Source organism: Homo sapiens, chromosome 11 (genome assembly GCF_000001405.40).
Source record: "Homo sapiens chromosome 11, GRCh38.p14 Primary Assembly".
NCBI lineage: Eukaryota > Metazoa > Chordata > Mammalia > Primates > Hominidae > Homo > Homo sapiens.
Window position 1 is genome coordinate 82,673,961 of NC_000011.10, and position 16,271 is coordinate 82,690,231.

At 40.4% G+C, this 16,271-nt stretch overlaps 1 pseudogene, besides 3 other annotated features; it reads left to right on the top strand.

Moving 5' to 3' along the window:
• Nucleotides 6,374-6,574: a silencer, noted in NCBI's record as "peak1371 fragment used in MPRA reporter construct". NCBI's record gives its function as "represses an SCP1 promoter by STARR-seq MPRAs in K562 erythroleukemia cells {active_cell/tissue: K562}" and the evidence as "EXISTENCE:reporter gene assay evidence [ECO:0000049][PMID:32103011]".
• Nucleotides 8,267-8,561: a silencer, noted in NCBI's record as "tiled region #11396; HepG2 Repressive DNase matched - State 12:CtcfO". NCBI's record gives its function as "represses a minimal TATA promoter and a strong SV40 promoter by Sharpr-MPRA in HepG2 cells {active_cell/tissue: HepG2}" and the evidence as "EXISTENCE:reporter gene assay evidence [ECO:0000049][PMID:27701403]".
• Nucleotides 8,267-8,561: an enhancer, noted in NCBI's record as "tiled region #11396; K562 Activating DNase unmatched - State 12:CtcfO". NCBI's record gives its function as "activates a minimal TATA promoter and a strong SV40 promoter by Sharpr-MPRA in K562 cells {active_cell/tissue: K562}" and the evidence as "EXISTENCE:reporter gene assay evidence [ECO:0000049][PMID:27701403]".
• Nucleotides 15,570-15,944, top strand: RPS28P7 (ribosomal protein S28 pseudogene 7; annotated as a pseudogene).

The window sequence follows — 16,271 nt, forward strand, 5'->3', positions numbered from 1 at the left end:
ATCTCTCCACCAGGTCCCTCCCACGACATGTGGGAATTATAGAAACTACAATTCAAGATGAGATTTGAATGGCGACACAGCCTAGCCATATCACTATACTAAAATTCAGCCTATAATTTCACAAATAAGATATGTGATATAGACACCAGAATTGATCATGTAAGCCCACGGTTAGAAGCAGTAGCCACATCATAATACATACTGCTTCTTGAGCACTAATTCTGTGCTAAGGACCATGCTATGTGTTTCATGTGTACATTTATGTGCATATCTCATTGATCTTTTTTATGTTGTGTGCATACATACCTCACTTAACAACACACAAGGAAAGTATTGTTATTTTGACCCCCATTTAACAGATGCTGCCTTAGCCTGGCTTCCACCTGAAAGCAGAACCTGAGCCAAGGGCTTGTGTGCAGTAATTTGAGAACCAATGGCAGGCAACAGAAGTGATGGATGGAGGAAAGAGAAAAAGCCAGTTCAAGAAGGCATTATCCACTGGCCTCCATTGTAGTGCTCATCCCCTCCCCTTTCTCTGAGGACTCCCCATTTCCATTTCCCTCTGGTTGAGGAATCCTCCTTGGGGCACTAACTATCTTATACATTCAGGTTGCCCGTGTGTGAGTGTTGAGTAGGCTCTTGCAGGCACACTGGGACAGAAAGCAGCACACACACTTAACTGAGGCACCGTCAAGAGTAAAACTGGTAGAAACTTGGGCAGAACAGTTTATACTAGTAGTGGCTGGAATAGAGAGGTCAAGAGAATGTGAGGCAATGAGTGTACAAAAAGGATCCCACACAGGTCAAACAACTAAGATCTCCAGAGATTGTCTTGCCCAAAGTAACACAAATTGAAAAATAATGTAGGCTCAAATCTGGTCTTCCATTTTAAATACTCTTCTCTTTCCATTCCCCAAATATGAAAAAGGTAAATATATAGAAGGCTGATTGTCTAGATATAACATCCATGAATAAAAATCCCTCCCTGGTGTATCTCCTGCTTGCCTGTTCAGTCTTACCTACCACCACTCTCTTCCTATTATCCAATTGTACTACAATACTTGCATGTCTTCAAAGCAAGTAAGTGGCTTGCCCAAGTGCACAAGCTGGTAACCCCAGCCTGGGTAACTCCAAAGCCCATGTTCTTAGCAGTACCCTACACTGTATCTCTACTGCTTTCATTAAAGAAATCTAAGATTGCATCAGTCAGCCCACAACTTTATGTGCTTGCTGGCTAGCATGAATCTAAAAATAAGCATTGCTCCAACTTCCCAGTTATTGGGTATAAGTGAACTGACCTAGGAGCCAGGAGCCCTGGGTTCTAGTCTGCCTCTAACTCCCAATGTGACTTGGACCTTCCTGCATTCCCTTGCTCTGGGCTTCAGTTTTCTAGTATTTTAAACTATTCAGTTGAAACAAATCCTCCCCAAGTTCCCTCCTAGCAGTAATGGTCTCTGCATTAAAGGCTATAATAAAAAGAGATCACAATTCTTCTTTCCATTTTCTCTTATCATTGTTTTCCTCAGGAATAAGAGAGAAAAACTTCTGTCTGTGTTAAACAGAGAGACAGGATCAGATCAAGCTCCAAACTTTTGGTTTACCCTGGACAGCCTTTCTCTGGGTGTTGAAAGCGAAGACTGCTGGGATGAGGCCTGTAGAGCCAGGTTACAAGATCACTCCAAACTTGAAGTTCATAAACTTCTTTCCAAATATGGACAGGTGTCGTATGAAAGCACATGCTCAGAATCTTCCTGATATGTCTTTGATAACTAGAGAAACACCAGAGTCCTTTGTCTTGCACCAGTTAGATAAATGATGGATACACGTGGAGTGGTTTAAAGGACGGGAAAGTTTAATAGGCAAGAAAGAAGAAAAAGTCTTCCCATATAGAGAGGGAGGCAGGCTCCAAACAGAGAAAAACCCCGTGTGCAGCAGAAAAGTAGCTAGTTATACTGGGAGGCTGGAGGAGGCGGTGTCTGATTTGCATGGGGCCCAGGGGATTGGTTTGACCAGGTGTGTCATTCACATAGCCCATGAAAAACCTGGCCCTCCCACCCTAGCCTTTTAATATGCAAATGCAGGTTGCCATGACGTCCTGCAAATGTGGAGTCATCTGAAGGCAGCCATGACACCTGGCACATATGGTGACAAAGAGAAGAGGGTGAGAATCACTACGTTGGATGGACCCAGTTTCTAATTGCTGGCATTTACGTATCAAAGCTTGCCAGCCTGGCTTTTCAAGACACTTTTCTATTAGAAAAGAAATGTTTCAGGAGCTGATTCTTTTCAAAGGAAAAGCCTTTCCGAGGACTCCTTACCCTCTCTATCTCCCTAAAATAATTTCTTAATAACTCCTGTATTATTCCCCCCTCAAGAGAAGTAAACCTAACTGCTGTTAGGGGGTGTTGGATGACGATTATTTCTGACTACTCCCTGCTGAAAAGTGGTGTCATCTCAGGGAGCAGCAGTTCGGCCTTCTCCTGAGGTTGATCTAAGGGTTCTCGGAAGAATGGCGTGTCCATGTGTGGCTCTGCTCACAGCACCATTTGGGGTTTGATTGCTTCTAGGTAAAAAGAGATAAGTTTTACATGAAGGTTTAAAATACAGCGTCAGAATATGAGCATTAAGATTACCACTGTTAGTGGGGGTCCTATAGACCATAACTGACAGTGAAGTTTGATACCTGTCAGTTATACCAATGGATTGTAATGCCTGCTTCCTTCCACTAGTTGTCGTTGTACATTACTAGAAACATTAATATAAAAGTAACATTCCTTTTAGGATTAGTGACATTGGATTTGGGTGGCTAGAGTAACTTTAGTGTTAGCCTTGGCTAGATTTTTCCTGAAACTTCTTTTCATAGCCAGGGTGTGACATATTACCAAACTCAATAAGAAGTTCTAGCAAACTCAGTGATAGTAAAACTCCCATGCTTCTTTTTTGTTGGTGGCTATTATCCCTGCTATAAGGATAATAATTAAGCAAAATATTACCACAATAGAAACTCTCTGTCCAATATTTTGGTTAGAAGGTGCTACCATGTATAGCTTTACTACAAATAGTAGAGAGACTATAGCAATTCCTGCAAGTGTGGTATGGTAGATAATTCGCATCTAAAATTATACTTGCTAAGATATAGAATTTCCTTTTGGGGGGTCCAGGAAGTTTCTTCATTCTACTTCCCTCAACAAAGAAACCTCCGGGTTATGGGCACCCTACTCACTTTCATTACCTTGCAGAATATACAGGATAATTGCCCAGAACTAGCTTACTGATCCAGATTTTTACATTACCCATTCCTCTTTGTTTCTTCCAAGCTGCAGAAGATCACCACTTGATTCACAGGAATAAGCAGGGTTAGTCTAAAATGTAGGTAAAAAGCTTAAAAACAATTAATAAGACTAGGATTTAATGTATGCATAATTTCTCTCTCTAGTCCTCATTGTTGGTAAAAACAAATTATGATAGGACCATGTTGTTTGTAGAATAAACTTTAGTCTTATACTTGGCCTGATTATTTTCATAAAGCACAGCAAGAATAATTATTTCTACATAGGCCTTTTGGGTTGGCTTTGATGGAACTCTGTTCCACAAGGAATCTCAGATAAGACCTGTTAAAGCTGAGTCCAGCCATGGGTTTGTACCCTCAAATACCTGTGAGTTGGGTGATCCTTTTCTCTTGAGGTCCTAAGATAAACTTTGAGCTCCTGGACCTGTTAGAAAGTGACATTCTTTACTGACCACAAGTTAGGAACCCTTTGCAGGGACTGTGTAGATCAGTTATGAGGCCAGTTCTCCCCCCAAAGGGCTTTTACTGGCTCTGCCTGTCAGGCTTTAATTCCTTAAAGGGAAACACACCCATTCCATCAAAGCCTTGGTAAAATAACCAGTTTTTCCAATTGTGTCCTCTTGAAAAAGAAAAATGGATTCTTATTGCACTGATGCAAACAACTATATTGTCATAGGTTAAGAGTACTTACAGATAGTTTCCAAATTCTAGAGGAACCAGGCAGAGAGAAACAAACATGCTCCAAATTTTGTTTGCAGGAGTATACCTTACTTAATTATTAAAGGCCATAAATAGTTCAAAATAAGTTTCCTCAACTTTGAAAAACAAAACAAGGATCACCAATGTTTTAAGCAAAAGTCCAGAAGGTTGCTCTAACTTTCTGAGTGCAGTCCATTCAGTTAACTCTTGTTTTGCTTGATATTCATGAACATGCCAGTTCTTTGTGAGTCCTGTATGTATTTCTCTATTCCAATGTTATAATCTTCAAAGCTATTGGAAACCTGCATTTGAGAACACCTGTTAAAGTCCTTAATATATCTTGATTATAAACCATCTTTTGAGAAGGAACAAACCAAGACAAAAATTGTTTGCAAATTACAAAATTTCTAGGGTAATTACACTCAAAAACATGACGACAAAGAAGTTTAGTTATCTCCATAGCTTACAATAACTTTACCCTCAATTATGATTGATAGCATATATTCAGACAATAGAATTTTAGAAATCCCATACAATTTTATAAAATATATTAGTAGTATTCACCAAAATATAACTTAAAGAAGACTGGACATTATTTTGGCAATCTCATGTGATTAAAAATGTTAAATAATTCAGTTCATCTCTTTTCTGAATGTTGCAGGGGCCCTCTGAACCATCCAGAAATCCAGGCATCAGGAAAGACAATTTTGAAACTTGGAGTTTGATTTTGAGATGTCCGTTAAATGTTAGACGTTTAAAACACTTAATGTTATGAAATAGAATTCCAAATTGCCACAAATTATTTATTTTGCCAAAATAATGATTTTTTTAAAAACCCTTTTATTAGCCTTTACTATTACGTGAAAATCCTGTTCAAAGTCAAATTATACCCTTGCATTAGTTTATTAATGTTAACCCTGATTTGTTTAAATAAAACCTTATTTAAATTCCATCTAATCTTAACCAATTTGACCATGTGGTGAAATCTTTACAAACTCTATAACCCCTTTTGCTAAAGGCAGATTACCATCTTAGAACAACCTTTTTTGTGCTTTTATTTTAATGCTCAATTTATGAAAAGACCATATAATACTCCTTTGAATTTAGTTAATGTTTATATATTTTTTGTAAGATTAATTTTTACAATCTTTCCACAACTTACTTAAACGTTTGGCTTTATCTTATTAAATTTAAGATAATCCCTTATCCCTAGGCAAAATTTACATTTCCATGTTTCTTATAATCTTTTACTAAAAAACACATTTCACTGTTTTTATATGCCTTGCATGTAAAACTGTTTAATGATCTCAAATACATGCTGCACTCTTAAGTCTTAGCAACTTTTACTTTTGGTGAAAAACCTGGTTAGTAAGCAATTTTAATTTTGTACCAGCTTAAAAATTAAAGTCATGTGAACTAAAAAATATTTGATTTAAGTGCTTATTTTTCTTTAAGCCAATTAATTTGAGCTCTTTCTATATACATTACACATAACACATACATAGCACATACATAGCGACACAAACAAACTGAAGATTCAGCACTTGTAAGATTTTTCATCTGCCACTTTTTTAATTGGATTACTGGCTTCAGGGTGGAGCCCTTGGAGGAACAGGGGCAAGATAGCATGCAATTTTAGGGCCTAATAAGCAAGCATTGCTAAAGGCAAAGACAGATCCCCAAATTTAAGAACAGAGCCTTTGATTTTGAGAGGGAACTATCTGCTTTTAATTCCTGGGGTTTCATGAGAAAAACAGAGGTTTTTTTCCCAAAACGGGGTCTGCGGCAGCTCTTCTGTTTTCCCATGGAGTCCCATGCTACCAGAAGTTATCTTAGGGCCTGTCATGCATGCATTAAGAGTGACAAAACAAAAAATGGAGAAAAATAATTTGGTCAACTGAGGCCAAAAAAAAACCTTTTTCCAGAAAAACAAGATCCAAGAAGAGAAAAACATAAAGACCTTTTAAATATACCTATAACTTGAATATTCACTTTTAATTAAGCTGAGTGCTCTTTAAATCCCTTATTATTCAACTTTAGCCATGCCAAGCAGTTAAGTTTTCAGCTTTTGAACTTCATGAAAAGTAACCTCACAGGTGAAACCAACAAGCCTTAATTAGGTTATGACTTAACCATAAGTGTACAAGATATTTTCAAAGGAGGTGACAGGCAGCTTTTGAAACCATCAGTGCAAAATTGTGACTGATAGTGAAAGACTTCCAACTCAACCAACCCCATTTTGTTTCCAGCCCCCAAGCTGTCCTTGCCTATCCCTGGACGTAGACCAAACCAACTTTGGGAGGTGCCTGGTTTACAGTTTATAGTCTAAAACAAACATGATAACAGCCCTTTCTTAAGATATACTTCCCTCTTGCCTGGGGACTAGACCAAGAAACTAGCTACAAGATTAGAGTCACACAGCTGGAGGCTACAAGATTCTGACCCTCCCTTAACTGGTGTCAAGATCAGTGCTTAAGATATTTTGTAAACCCTGCCCTTGATGGATTAGCTGGCACCGCCCAGACCAATAAAATGGCTTATCTGATTTTGTGGCCCTCATCCAGGAACTGACTTAGTACAAGAAGACAACCACCACTGTAAAATGATGGAGACTAAAACAAAGTATTGCCACATAGTTACAGGTCATGTTCCCAAAGACATGAAACAAGACAGAGGCCTGTAGCCATGTTTGTTAACTGAAAATTTGTTTGACTGGCTTCAACAGTACGCTTATGGGGTCCTGGGCCTGCATTCTAATTTAAGGTATCCTTTATTTTGACAGAACCATACAGAAAGACACACAAAGCACACCAGATTAGCTACAGCTTAAGACCAACCTCACAAATCCTTTTTCATTAATTAAAACTTTACAGAGAATACAAACAATAATCCTTATTATCCCTTTTACTGGTTTGCACTGGAAGAGAGAAGCCAAACGCCCGACTGGTAAAAAATGTTTACCCTTTTGCCAGCATGTCAGGCTTCTGGTTTCCCTTCTCCCTAGCTCAACTCTAAGCCAAGCATTCTAAGGTTTGGAAAATTAACTTTTCCCAGGTTGGAAGAATATTATAAAAGAGACATTTGAAACTATGAAAGAAGGAAAAACACCACAGACATGAGTTAAATTGTGGAAAGCTTCTACACACGTATCGGGGTCTTCAGAAAATTGGCCTAAGTCTCCCTTTATTTGCTTAAGGTCCTGTAATGAGAAGGGAACTTGAACCCTCATGGGACCATTCCCATCAGGCATTTCCTGCAGAGGTAAGAGTGAAGAGGGGAGAGTAGGTAATACTGGAGATGCTGGAGCTGGAGAAGCTGACGGTATGATTGGAGGGGTACTGGAAGGGTTGAGACATTCAGTAGCAGTCTCAGATTGCACCTCTGGAATCTGCTTTAGCTCTGTGGGCTTGCCTGCCATGGGTACTAAAAGAGCTGAGTTGATTGTACAGAACTTGTAAAGGTCTGGGTTGTCTTGCAGGGCAAAGAAAGTCTGTACATAGGGGACCTCAGTCCATCTGCCCCTGCATCTGCAGAAAAGATCTAACTGTTGGATAATATTCAAAATCAAGGTTCCCCCCAGCCTTGGTAAGCCATGGTAAGAAGGCCATGCCCTTCTGCAACAGAATATAAGGTACTTTTTCTTAAAAGGCTCAGGGGCAAAAGAGTGCCAGTGCGTTAAAATACACTCCAGGGGAGTGTATGCTGAAGACAATCTGTTACCCATCTAGAAAGAGAAGTGGGAGAAGGCGTCCCTTTAGTCTCCTTCCCTTCCATATGTGACCCAGGGTGGAGAAGAAAACAGTGGGAGCATCCCCCCAACTATTTTCCCTCTCTGGTTCCTGGGTCCCAGCACCCTGTTAAATGTGCCACCCATGGCTACAGGCATGACCCTCCAAGCCATGACACCAGAGGAACTAGACTTTTGAGGCCTAGATACACTTACCCAAGTAGTCCTAGTCCTCTGACTATTATTTTCCTTTGACCTCCTAGACTTATGTGACCTGTGTGCCTCCCTCCAAAAAATGGATCTTGGGAAAGACTATATAAAAGCAAGGTTCCTTTAATGGAGGAAATTTGCTAGATTGCCTGCTATTATGGCCCATGCTAAAGCATCTACCCTTAGAAAAATGGTTCTGGTTAACTTCCAGACTTAAAATCCTCTTACTAATTAAGTACTGTCTTAATTGGAGACAGAACAGGTGCCTTAAAAGAACATAGGAACCAAACGGCTGTTTTTCTGCTGATGGGACAATATTAAAACTAAAATTTGGCTATGGAAAACACTTAACTCCTAACTGTTGAAGGCAGAGATCTCCCATTCACAGAAGTAGCATAAAGCCTAGTTTCCAGTAGAAAAGTGCAACGAGGAAAAGTTGTGAAACTACAATGTGCTGCAAAGCACCAGCAATGTGTCTTATGAAAAGGATTTCTATTTCCACTAGGTGGCACTGTTGGGTTAGAAATACCATGTGTTTGCCAGACGAGAGAGGAGAGTGAGAGGAGAGAGAGAAAGGAGAGAGAAGAGAGAGAGAGGATTGGGGGCGGGGTGGGGAGAGAGAGACAGAGAGAGAGAGAGAGAGAGAACGTTTATATGGCCTGCCACATTTGCTGATCTTTCCTGACAGACCTGATTCCCTGGACTGTAAAAATTCCTGAGACAGAGAGAGAGAGAGAAAGAGAGGAAGAGAGAGAGAGACGTTTATGCTGCCTGCCACATTTGCTGATCTTTCCTGACAGACCTGTTTCCCTGGACTGTAAAAATTCCTGCACATGGCATACACAGAGAGAATAGATATAGTGGTCACAGGTAGAAAAGAAATGAAAATCTGGTGACAGGATAGCTGGAAGAGAGCCTGGAGATTAAAAGACAGATTTGAGGTTGAGGTTCACTCCATACTCACCACTCCAATGAATGTTGTACCTTGGATTTCCGGCCAATGCACCAAAATGATATGGCTCCAATGAATGGAGAAACACCAGGGTCCTTTGTCTTGTGCCAGTTAGATAAACAACATGGACACACATGGAGTGGTTTTTAAGGAGCAGAAAGTTTAATGGGCAAGAAAGAAGAAGAAAGTCTCCCCCTGTATGGGAAGTGGGGGGTGGGCTCCAAATGGAGAAAAACCCTGTGTGCGGTGGAAAAGTAGTCGGTTACATTGGGAGGCTGCAGGAGGCAGTGTCTGATTTGCATAGGGCCCAGGGGATTGGTTTGACCAGATGTGTCATTCACGTAGCCTGCGAGAAACCTGGCCCTCCCACTCTGGCCTTTTAACAGGCCAATGCAGGTTGCCATGATGTCATGCACACATGGAGTCATCTGGAGGTGGCCATGACACCTGGCACACATGGTGACAAGGAGAAGAGGGTGGGAATCACCATACTGGATGAACCCAACTTCTAATTGCTGGCATTTGCATATCAAAGCTTGCTGGCCTGACTTTTCAAGCCGCTCTTCTATTAGAAAAGAAATGTTTCAGGAGCTGTTTATTTTAAAAGGAAAAGTCTTACCAAGGACTCCTTACCCTCCCTATCTGCCTAAAATAATTTATTAATATTCCCTGTATTATTCCCATTATAAAAGTGTATTCCATAGACACATGAACTGTCAGGGCACAGAGAGACCAAAGAGGTCATCATGCCTCATTAGCTCCAAGAGGGTGCATGACTCCCCAAAAGCCCACCATGAGCCATTCACTGAAATTAGAACCCCAGTCCCCTGATGCAAGCTGGTGCTCTTTCTACAGCATCACATCATCTCTTTGAGGAACAAGATTATTGGAAAAAAGGCACCAACTCGACTGGGAATTTAAGATCTGGGTTTGAGTACCAGTTCTCAAAAGTTCTGCTTTCCAATTACTTTTCCTTCATTAAGTGCTGAAAGTGAAGACTACATAAAAAAGTTGTGTGAAAGTGCCTCATAACCAAATTTAACACATAGTGGGTGTTTATTAATAAACGCTTTTTGAATCTGAATCCCTCAGGGGAGTAAGATTTGGCTAAGGTAATCCATGTGAACATATTATATCAAAGTGTAGTGTGATACAGAAATGGAAAGAATTGTTATATTTTTCGATAGTAAAACAAAGATTTTTTTTAGATAGGATTGCAGTGGATGAGGGAAGTTATTACTTTCCATCTCATGGACAAGTTGTGGCAGTATTTATGTTCTTAAACTACCATTGCCTACACTTCTGCATCCAAACTCTGAGCCCTGGACTTAAGCATTCATCTCGACTTGAAAATAAATCCATTCTATCTGGACCAACAGGAAAGACACAGCGTATAGCAAATATACTGAAATAAATAGCTTAAATGTTGGCTATCACTTGCTGAAAATAGCCAACCAAGCCAGCCTATCTCCAGAAATAATTCAATATGCCCTTGAAATAAGAAAATTCTGCTTAAAACACCTAAATATTTTATAGAAACCAAACTAAAACACATTGATACGATGATAAAATCTTACTGCCTTGAATCTTCTGTGAAAATACCTGTTAACATCTCTTAAAGCATTGAGGCGGAACAGACAGAAGAACTAACACTACTGGTGCCTGAATGCCAAGCACTCCACTAGATATTTGACATATACTGTCTCATTTATTTCCTCCCTTAATCCTGTTATTATCCCCATTTCAGAGAGGTGGGCAAATTTCCCCCTCTTTCATCCAGTTTGTAAATAATGGAACTAGAGTCAAATCCAGGTCTATTTTTTCCACTGTATACAATCAACTCAATAGAAGACACACAATCTCACATACACCACAAGATACACCTTTCTAGTGAGTTAGGCACAAAAGCCAAAGCAGAGATTTAAACACTTGGAAGACACTTAGGGAATTTGAGAGTCAATTTTGGAGCATTCGATTTTTGCTTCTTTCTCCACAGTAAAACGATAACAACACCTTTTGATATGGTTTGGCTCTGTGTCCCCAGCCAAATCTCCTCTCCAATTGCAATCCCTGTATGTGGAGGGAGGGACCTGGTGGGAGGTGATTGGATCATGAGGGCGAATTTCTCCCTTGCTATTCTCATGATAATAAGTTCTCATAAGATGTGATCGTTTGATAACTGTCCGGAGCTTCCCTCTTCTCTCTCTCTCTCCCTCTTTCTCCTGCTACCATGTAAGACATGGCTTGCTTCCCCTTCACCTTCCACCATGATTGTAAGTTTCCTGAGGCCTCCCAGCCATGCAGAACTGTGAGTCAATTAAACTTCTTTTCTTCATAAATTACCCAATCTCGAGGTAATATCTTTATAGCAGTATGAGAATGAACTAATATACCTTGGTACATGAAGAATTTTACAAAATGTTTTTAATAAATAGCATAGCTAAGATTTAAATCCAAGTTTTCTGACTCCAAGTCTAGCCCTCTTCCCAAGCAAAGGCTGACTAAAGGGACTCTAAACCAAACTTTGGATGTCTGAAGGAAGACAACGTAGTATTTTTGTTTATTTATTTTTGAGACAGAGTCTCGCTCTGTCACCCAAACTGGAGTTTAGTGGCGTGATCTCTGCTCACTGCAACCTCTGCCTCCTAGGTTCAAGCAATTCTCCTGCCTCAGCCTCAGGAGTAACTGGGACTACAGGCACACACCACCATATCTGGCTAATTTTTGTATTTTTAGTAGAAATGGGGTTTCACGATGATGGCCAGGCTGGTCTTGAACTCCTGACCTCAAGTGATCTGCTCATCTCAGCCTCCCAAAGTGCTGGGATTATAAGCATGAGCCACCGTGCCCTGCCTAACATAGTATTTTTGTAGTCTGGGCCATTACAACAAAATATCATAGAGTGGTTAGCTTATAAACAAAGGAAATTTATTTCTTATAGTTCTGGGGATTAGAAAGTCCCAGACCAAGGCACCAGCAATTTGGTGTCTGACGAGAGCCATCTCTTGTTTCATAGACAGCAATGCCTTCTCACTTTATTCTCATATGATTGAAGGTCCTAGCTAGCTCTCTGGCAAATCTTTTATAAGGGTATTAATCCCAGTCATGAGGACTCGTCACTCATGACCTAATTACCTCCCAAAGGCCTCCTAATACCATCACCTTGGGCATCAGGATTTCAACATCTGAATTTTCATAGGACACAAACATTCAGACAATAGTATCTCTGAAAAAAGAAACCTCCTTATTTACTGAGTAAATTCCCACTGAATAAAACAATTCCAACGGTATCATCTGAGGAATGCAGGTATCATAGATTGGTGTCTTGATGAGAAAATTAACAAGCAAGGAATAGTGATCAATTGTTTTCTAATTTCCCATCTATAAAATATATATTAGCTACTTGATAAAATCACCTAAGGCCATAAAGAGGAGCAAAAAAGGAACCATATTTATTGAGTCATAAAAGACTTTTTTGAATCTAGTAGTATCACTCTTGAGAATTGTTATAGGAAGAGGGGAAATGCCTAAAGGAAAAGCTACAAAGACATTCATTACAATGCCATTTAAACAGTGAAACGCTGAAAATAACCTACAAACCAACAATAGGGGAATTGTTAAATGAACAGTGGTATATCAACCAGATGGTATGTTACGTAACTTGTAAAATATAATATTTCTAAACACTAGATAAAGATAAAAAGTTCACAGTATACTAAATTTAGAAAGAAAAATGTCTATGCCATGCAAAAATACCATATGCATACAAGCAAAGTGTGGAAGAGAGCATTAAAATAACAACTATTGATTTGTAAGGGTGACGGGATTATAGGCAGGTTTTTCTATTCATTTTTTAAATTTCCAGTACATTTTTTGTAATATAACTTATTTTAAGTAGAGCTTGGCATTACTCTAAACCGACTGTCTTTTATCCAAACAACAGCAAGAGACAAGACATTTACAAACTCTGGGGAATCAGTATTTTTTTATCCATTGTGTGAAAGTTCTTGTAATTGATCTTGTCATTCAATTCAATGTCTCCCACATTTACAGATCTCTTTTGTTTCAAGGTAATGTAGATAAATGAGGCTCATGTTAGACTATTGACATTATCTTGGTACCTGTGCACACCAGCACTTTGGATGTTTGATTAACACATAAGCTGGACTTGAGGAAGTTAAGAACTTGGTGTTAAGAAGTCATCTCTCCTTTCTAATTTCCGTGACAGCGTAGAAAAAGCACTGGGCTCAGAATTGAGAGACCTGGAATCTATTCAGTCCTGGTTCTATAACACACTAGTTGTATGAATCACTTAGCACCTGTGAGCTTTGTTGCTTATCCTTGACAGAATACAGAGGGATCTCAGCCTCACTCACCTCACAGGGCTATGGTGAGGCATAGATTCACTGAGAGGTAAATATGTGCTATGCAGAGCTTTAGGCTGGGACACCCAAGACAGAAATATCTTTTCAGGTGTTTCAAAAATAATACAAACTACCACTTACTTAATACTGTCTATGTGTGCCAGGCACTGTGATTAGTACTTTACATGCATAATTCACTTACTTTTAAAAGATGTGTATTAAGCATCTTATGTAACAAATGCTGGTGCATGCTGATTACATGGATTATATCAGCAGAGAAAACAATTCCCTGCCCTTGGGGAGCCGACATTCTTCTGGGGCAAGACAATGAATAGCAAACGTAATTATAGTGTGTAAGAAAATTATGGGGAAAAAATAAAAGTAGAGTAAAGGAAGTTCTGAGGACAGGAATGGGACAGGAAAAATTATAAATAGGGTGGTCTGGGGGAGCAAAGTCTTAGAGGAGAAAGGAATTGGTCTTGCAGATATCTGGGGGAAGAACGCCTCAGGCAGAGGGAATGAGTCCAGGGCAAACAACTAAAAGTTGGAGTTTTCTTGAAATGTTTGTCAAAAACTTGGACACAGGAAGGGGAACCTCACACACTGGAACCTGTTGTGGGGTGGAGGGATGGGGGAGGGATAGCATTAGGAGATATACCTAATGTAAATGATGAGTTAATGGGTGCAGCACACCAACATGGCATATGTATACATATGTAAGACACCTGCACGTTGTGCACATGTACCCTAGAACTTAAAGTATAATAAAAAAAAAATTTTTAATTGATGATGTTTTTGTGTCTGGAATAGGGTGAAGAAGAGAGAGAGCAGACCGGGTGCAGTGGCTCATGCCTGTAATCCCAGCACTTTGGGAGGCCGAGGCAGGCGGATCACGAGGTCAAGAGATCAAGACCATCCTGGCTAACATGGTGAAACCCAGTCTCTGCTAAAAATAAAAAAAAAATTAGCCGGGCGTGGTGGCGCGTGCCTGTAGTCCCAGCTACTCAGGAGGCTGAGGCAGGAGAATGGCATGAACCTAGCAGGAGGAGCTTGCAGTGAGCCAAGATCGTGCCACTGCACTCCAGCCTGGGTGACAGAGCAAGACTCCATCTCAAAAAAAAAAAAAAAAGAAGAAGAAGAGAGAATAATCAGGAATGAGGTCAGAGATGTAACAGGAAATCTGATTGTACAGGACTTTGTAAACACCATTTTGGTTTTTATTCTGAGAATAAAATGGGGAGCTGTTGGAGAGTTTGAACAGAGAGGTGACATGATCTCACCTGCTTTTTAATACAATCACTCTGGTTAATGTGTTGAGAACAAACCATGGTGGGGCAAGGGTAGAAGCAGGGAAATCAGTTTGGAAGCCATGACAAAAATAACAACAATGGCTTGAATCAAGAGGGCAGCAGAGGAGTTGTAAGAAGTGGTTGGATTCTGTGTTTATTTTGAAAGTAAAGTCAACAGAATTTGCCAATGGGTTGAATGTGGGACATAAGGGAAAAAGAGGAGTCAAAGATGATTGTAAGACTTCTGGCCAGAGAAGTTGGAAAGATAGAGTTGCTGTCACTTGATGTGAGAAAGACTGAGAACAGAATTGTCTGTCTTGATAATCCTCACCATAAGCCTACGAAACAGGTAATGTTATCGGCATTTCACAGACGAGGAAACTGTTGCTTGCACAGTTAAGTGACTTATCCAAAGTCACACCTTTTCAGATGTTGAGCCAGGATGTAAGCCCTGGTCTATCTGACACCAAAGTCTAAGCACTTAAACACTGCACATAGCTGATCTATAAAGTGAAAGTCAGGAGCAGCCAAGTTTTCCTATTAGTGGCCACATGATCAAAATTTCATATATGTGTAGGCATATGAATATTTTGCACCTTCATGGTACCCATTTCGTGATGTAACTCTCAGGATTATACATGAGTCATGTTTAGCTTCAAATACTGTATAATGACTAATGGATCTCAACATGCTGGCCTGACACCTGGCCATAGTTGTTATATAGCTAGTTCCCATCACGATCATCTAGGGTGCCTTTTTAAAATGTAGATTCTAAGTCACACCCCTCACCTACAGAAATAGAATCTCCTCAGGTGGATTCAGGAATCTGTATTTTTAGAATTGATTCAGACAGAGTTAAACAACTAGTGATTGCAAACTTCTGAATTAAGCAAAAACAGTAGAAAACAGGTGGTTGGGGCCTCTTGGCCAGCTGGGTTAGACATTCTAGATACACTTAAAGAGTGTCACTACTCAGAGTATGTCCCCTGAGTGGTGGCGGCAGCAGCACCTGGGAGCTTGTTAGAAATGCTGAATCTCGCTCCGCCAGACCGCCGCCGCGCCGCCATCATGGACACCAGCCGTGTGCAGCCTATCAAGCTGGCCAGGGTCACCAAGGTCCTGGGCAGGACCGGTTCTCAGGGACAGTGCACGCAGGTGCGCGTGGAATTCATGGACGACACGAGCCGATCCATCATCCGCAATGTAAAAGGCCCCGTGCGCGAGGGCGACGTGCTCACCCTTTTGGAGTCAGAGCGAGAAGCCCGGAGGTTGCGCTGAGCTTGGCTGCTCGCTGGGTCTTGGATGTCGGGTTCGACCACTTGGCCGATGGGAATGGTCTGTCACAATCTGCTCCTTTTTTTTGTCCGCCACACGTAACTGAGATGCTCCTTTAAATAAAGCGTTTGTGTTTCAAAAAAAAAAAAAAAAAAAAAAAAAAAAAAAAAAAGAAATGCCGACTCTCAAGCCCCACCCCAGACCTACTGGATCTGGACCTGCATTTTAACAAGGACTCCAGCTGCTTTGTAGGCACGTTGAAGATTGAAAAGCACTAGAACATGCTTAACAACAAATCACAAGGGGATCCAACCCTGGGGTCAGGTGGGTTGCAAATTGCTCATTGGCCATTTGTTAGACAGTTGACACATACGTACAACTCAGTTGGTACTAGACCAGGCGCTTATATACATTATCTTACTTAATCATCCTAAAAACCCTACATGGTAGGCCCTGTTATCCTCAT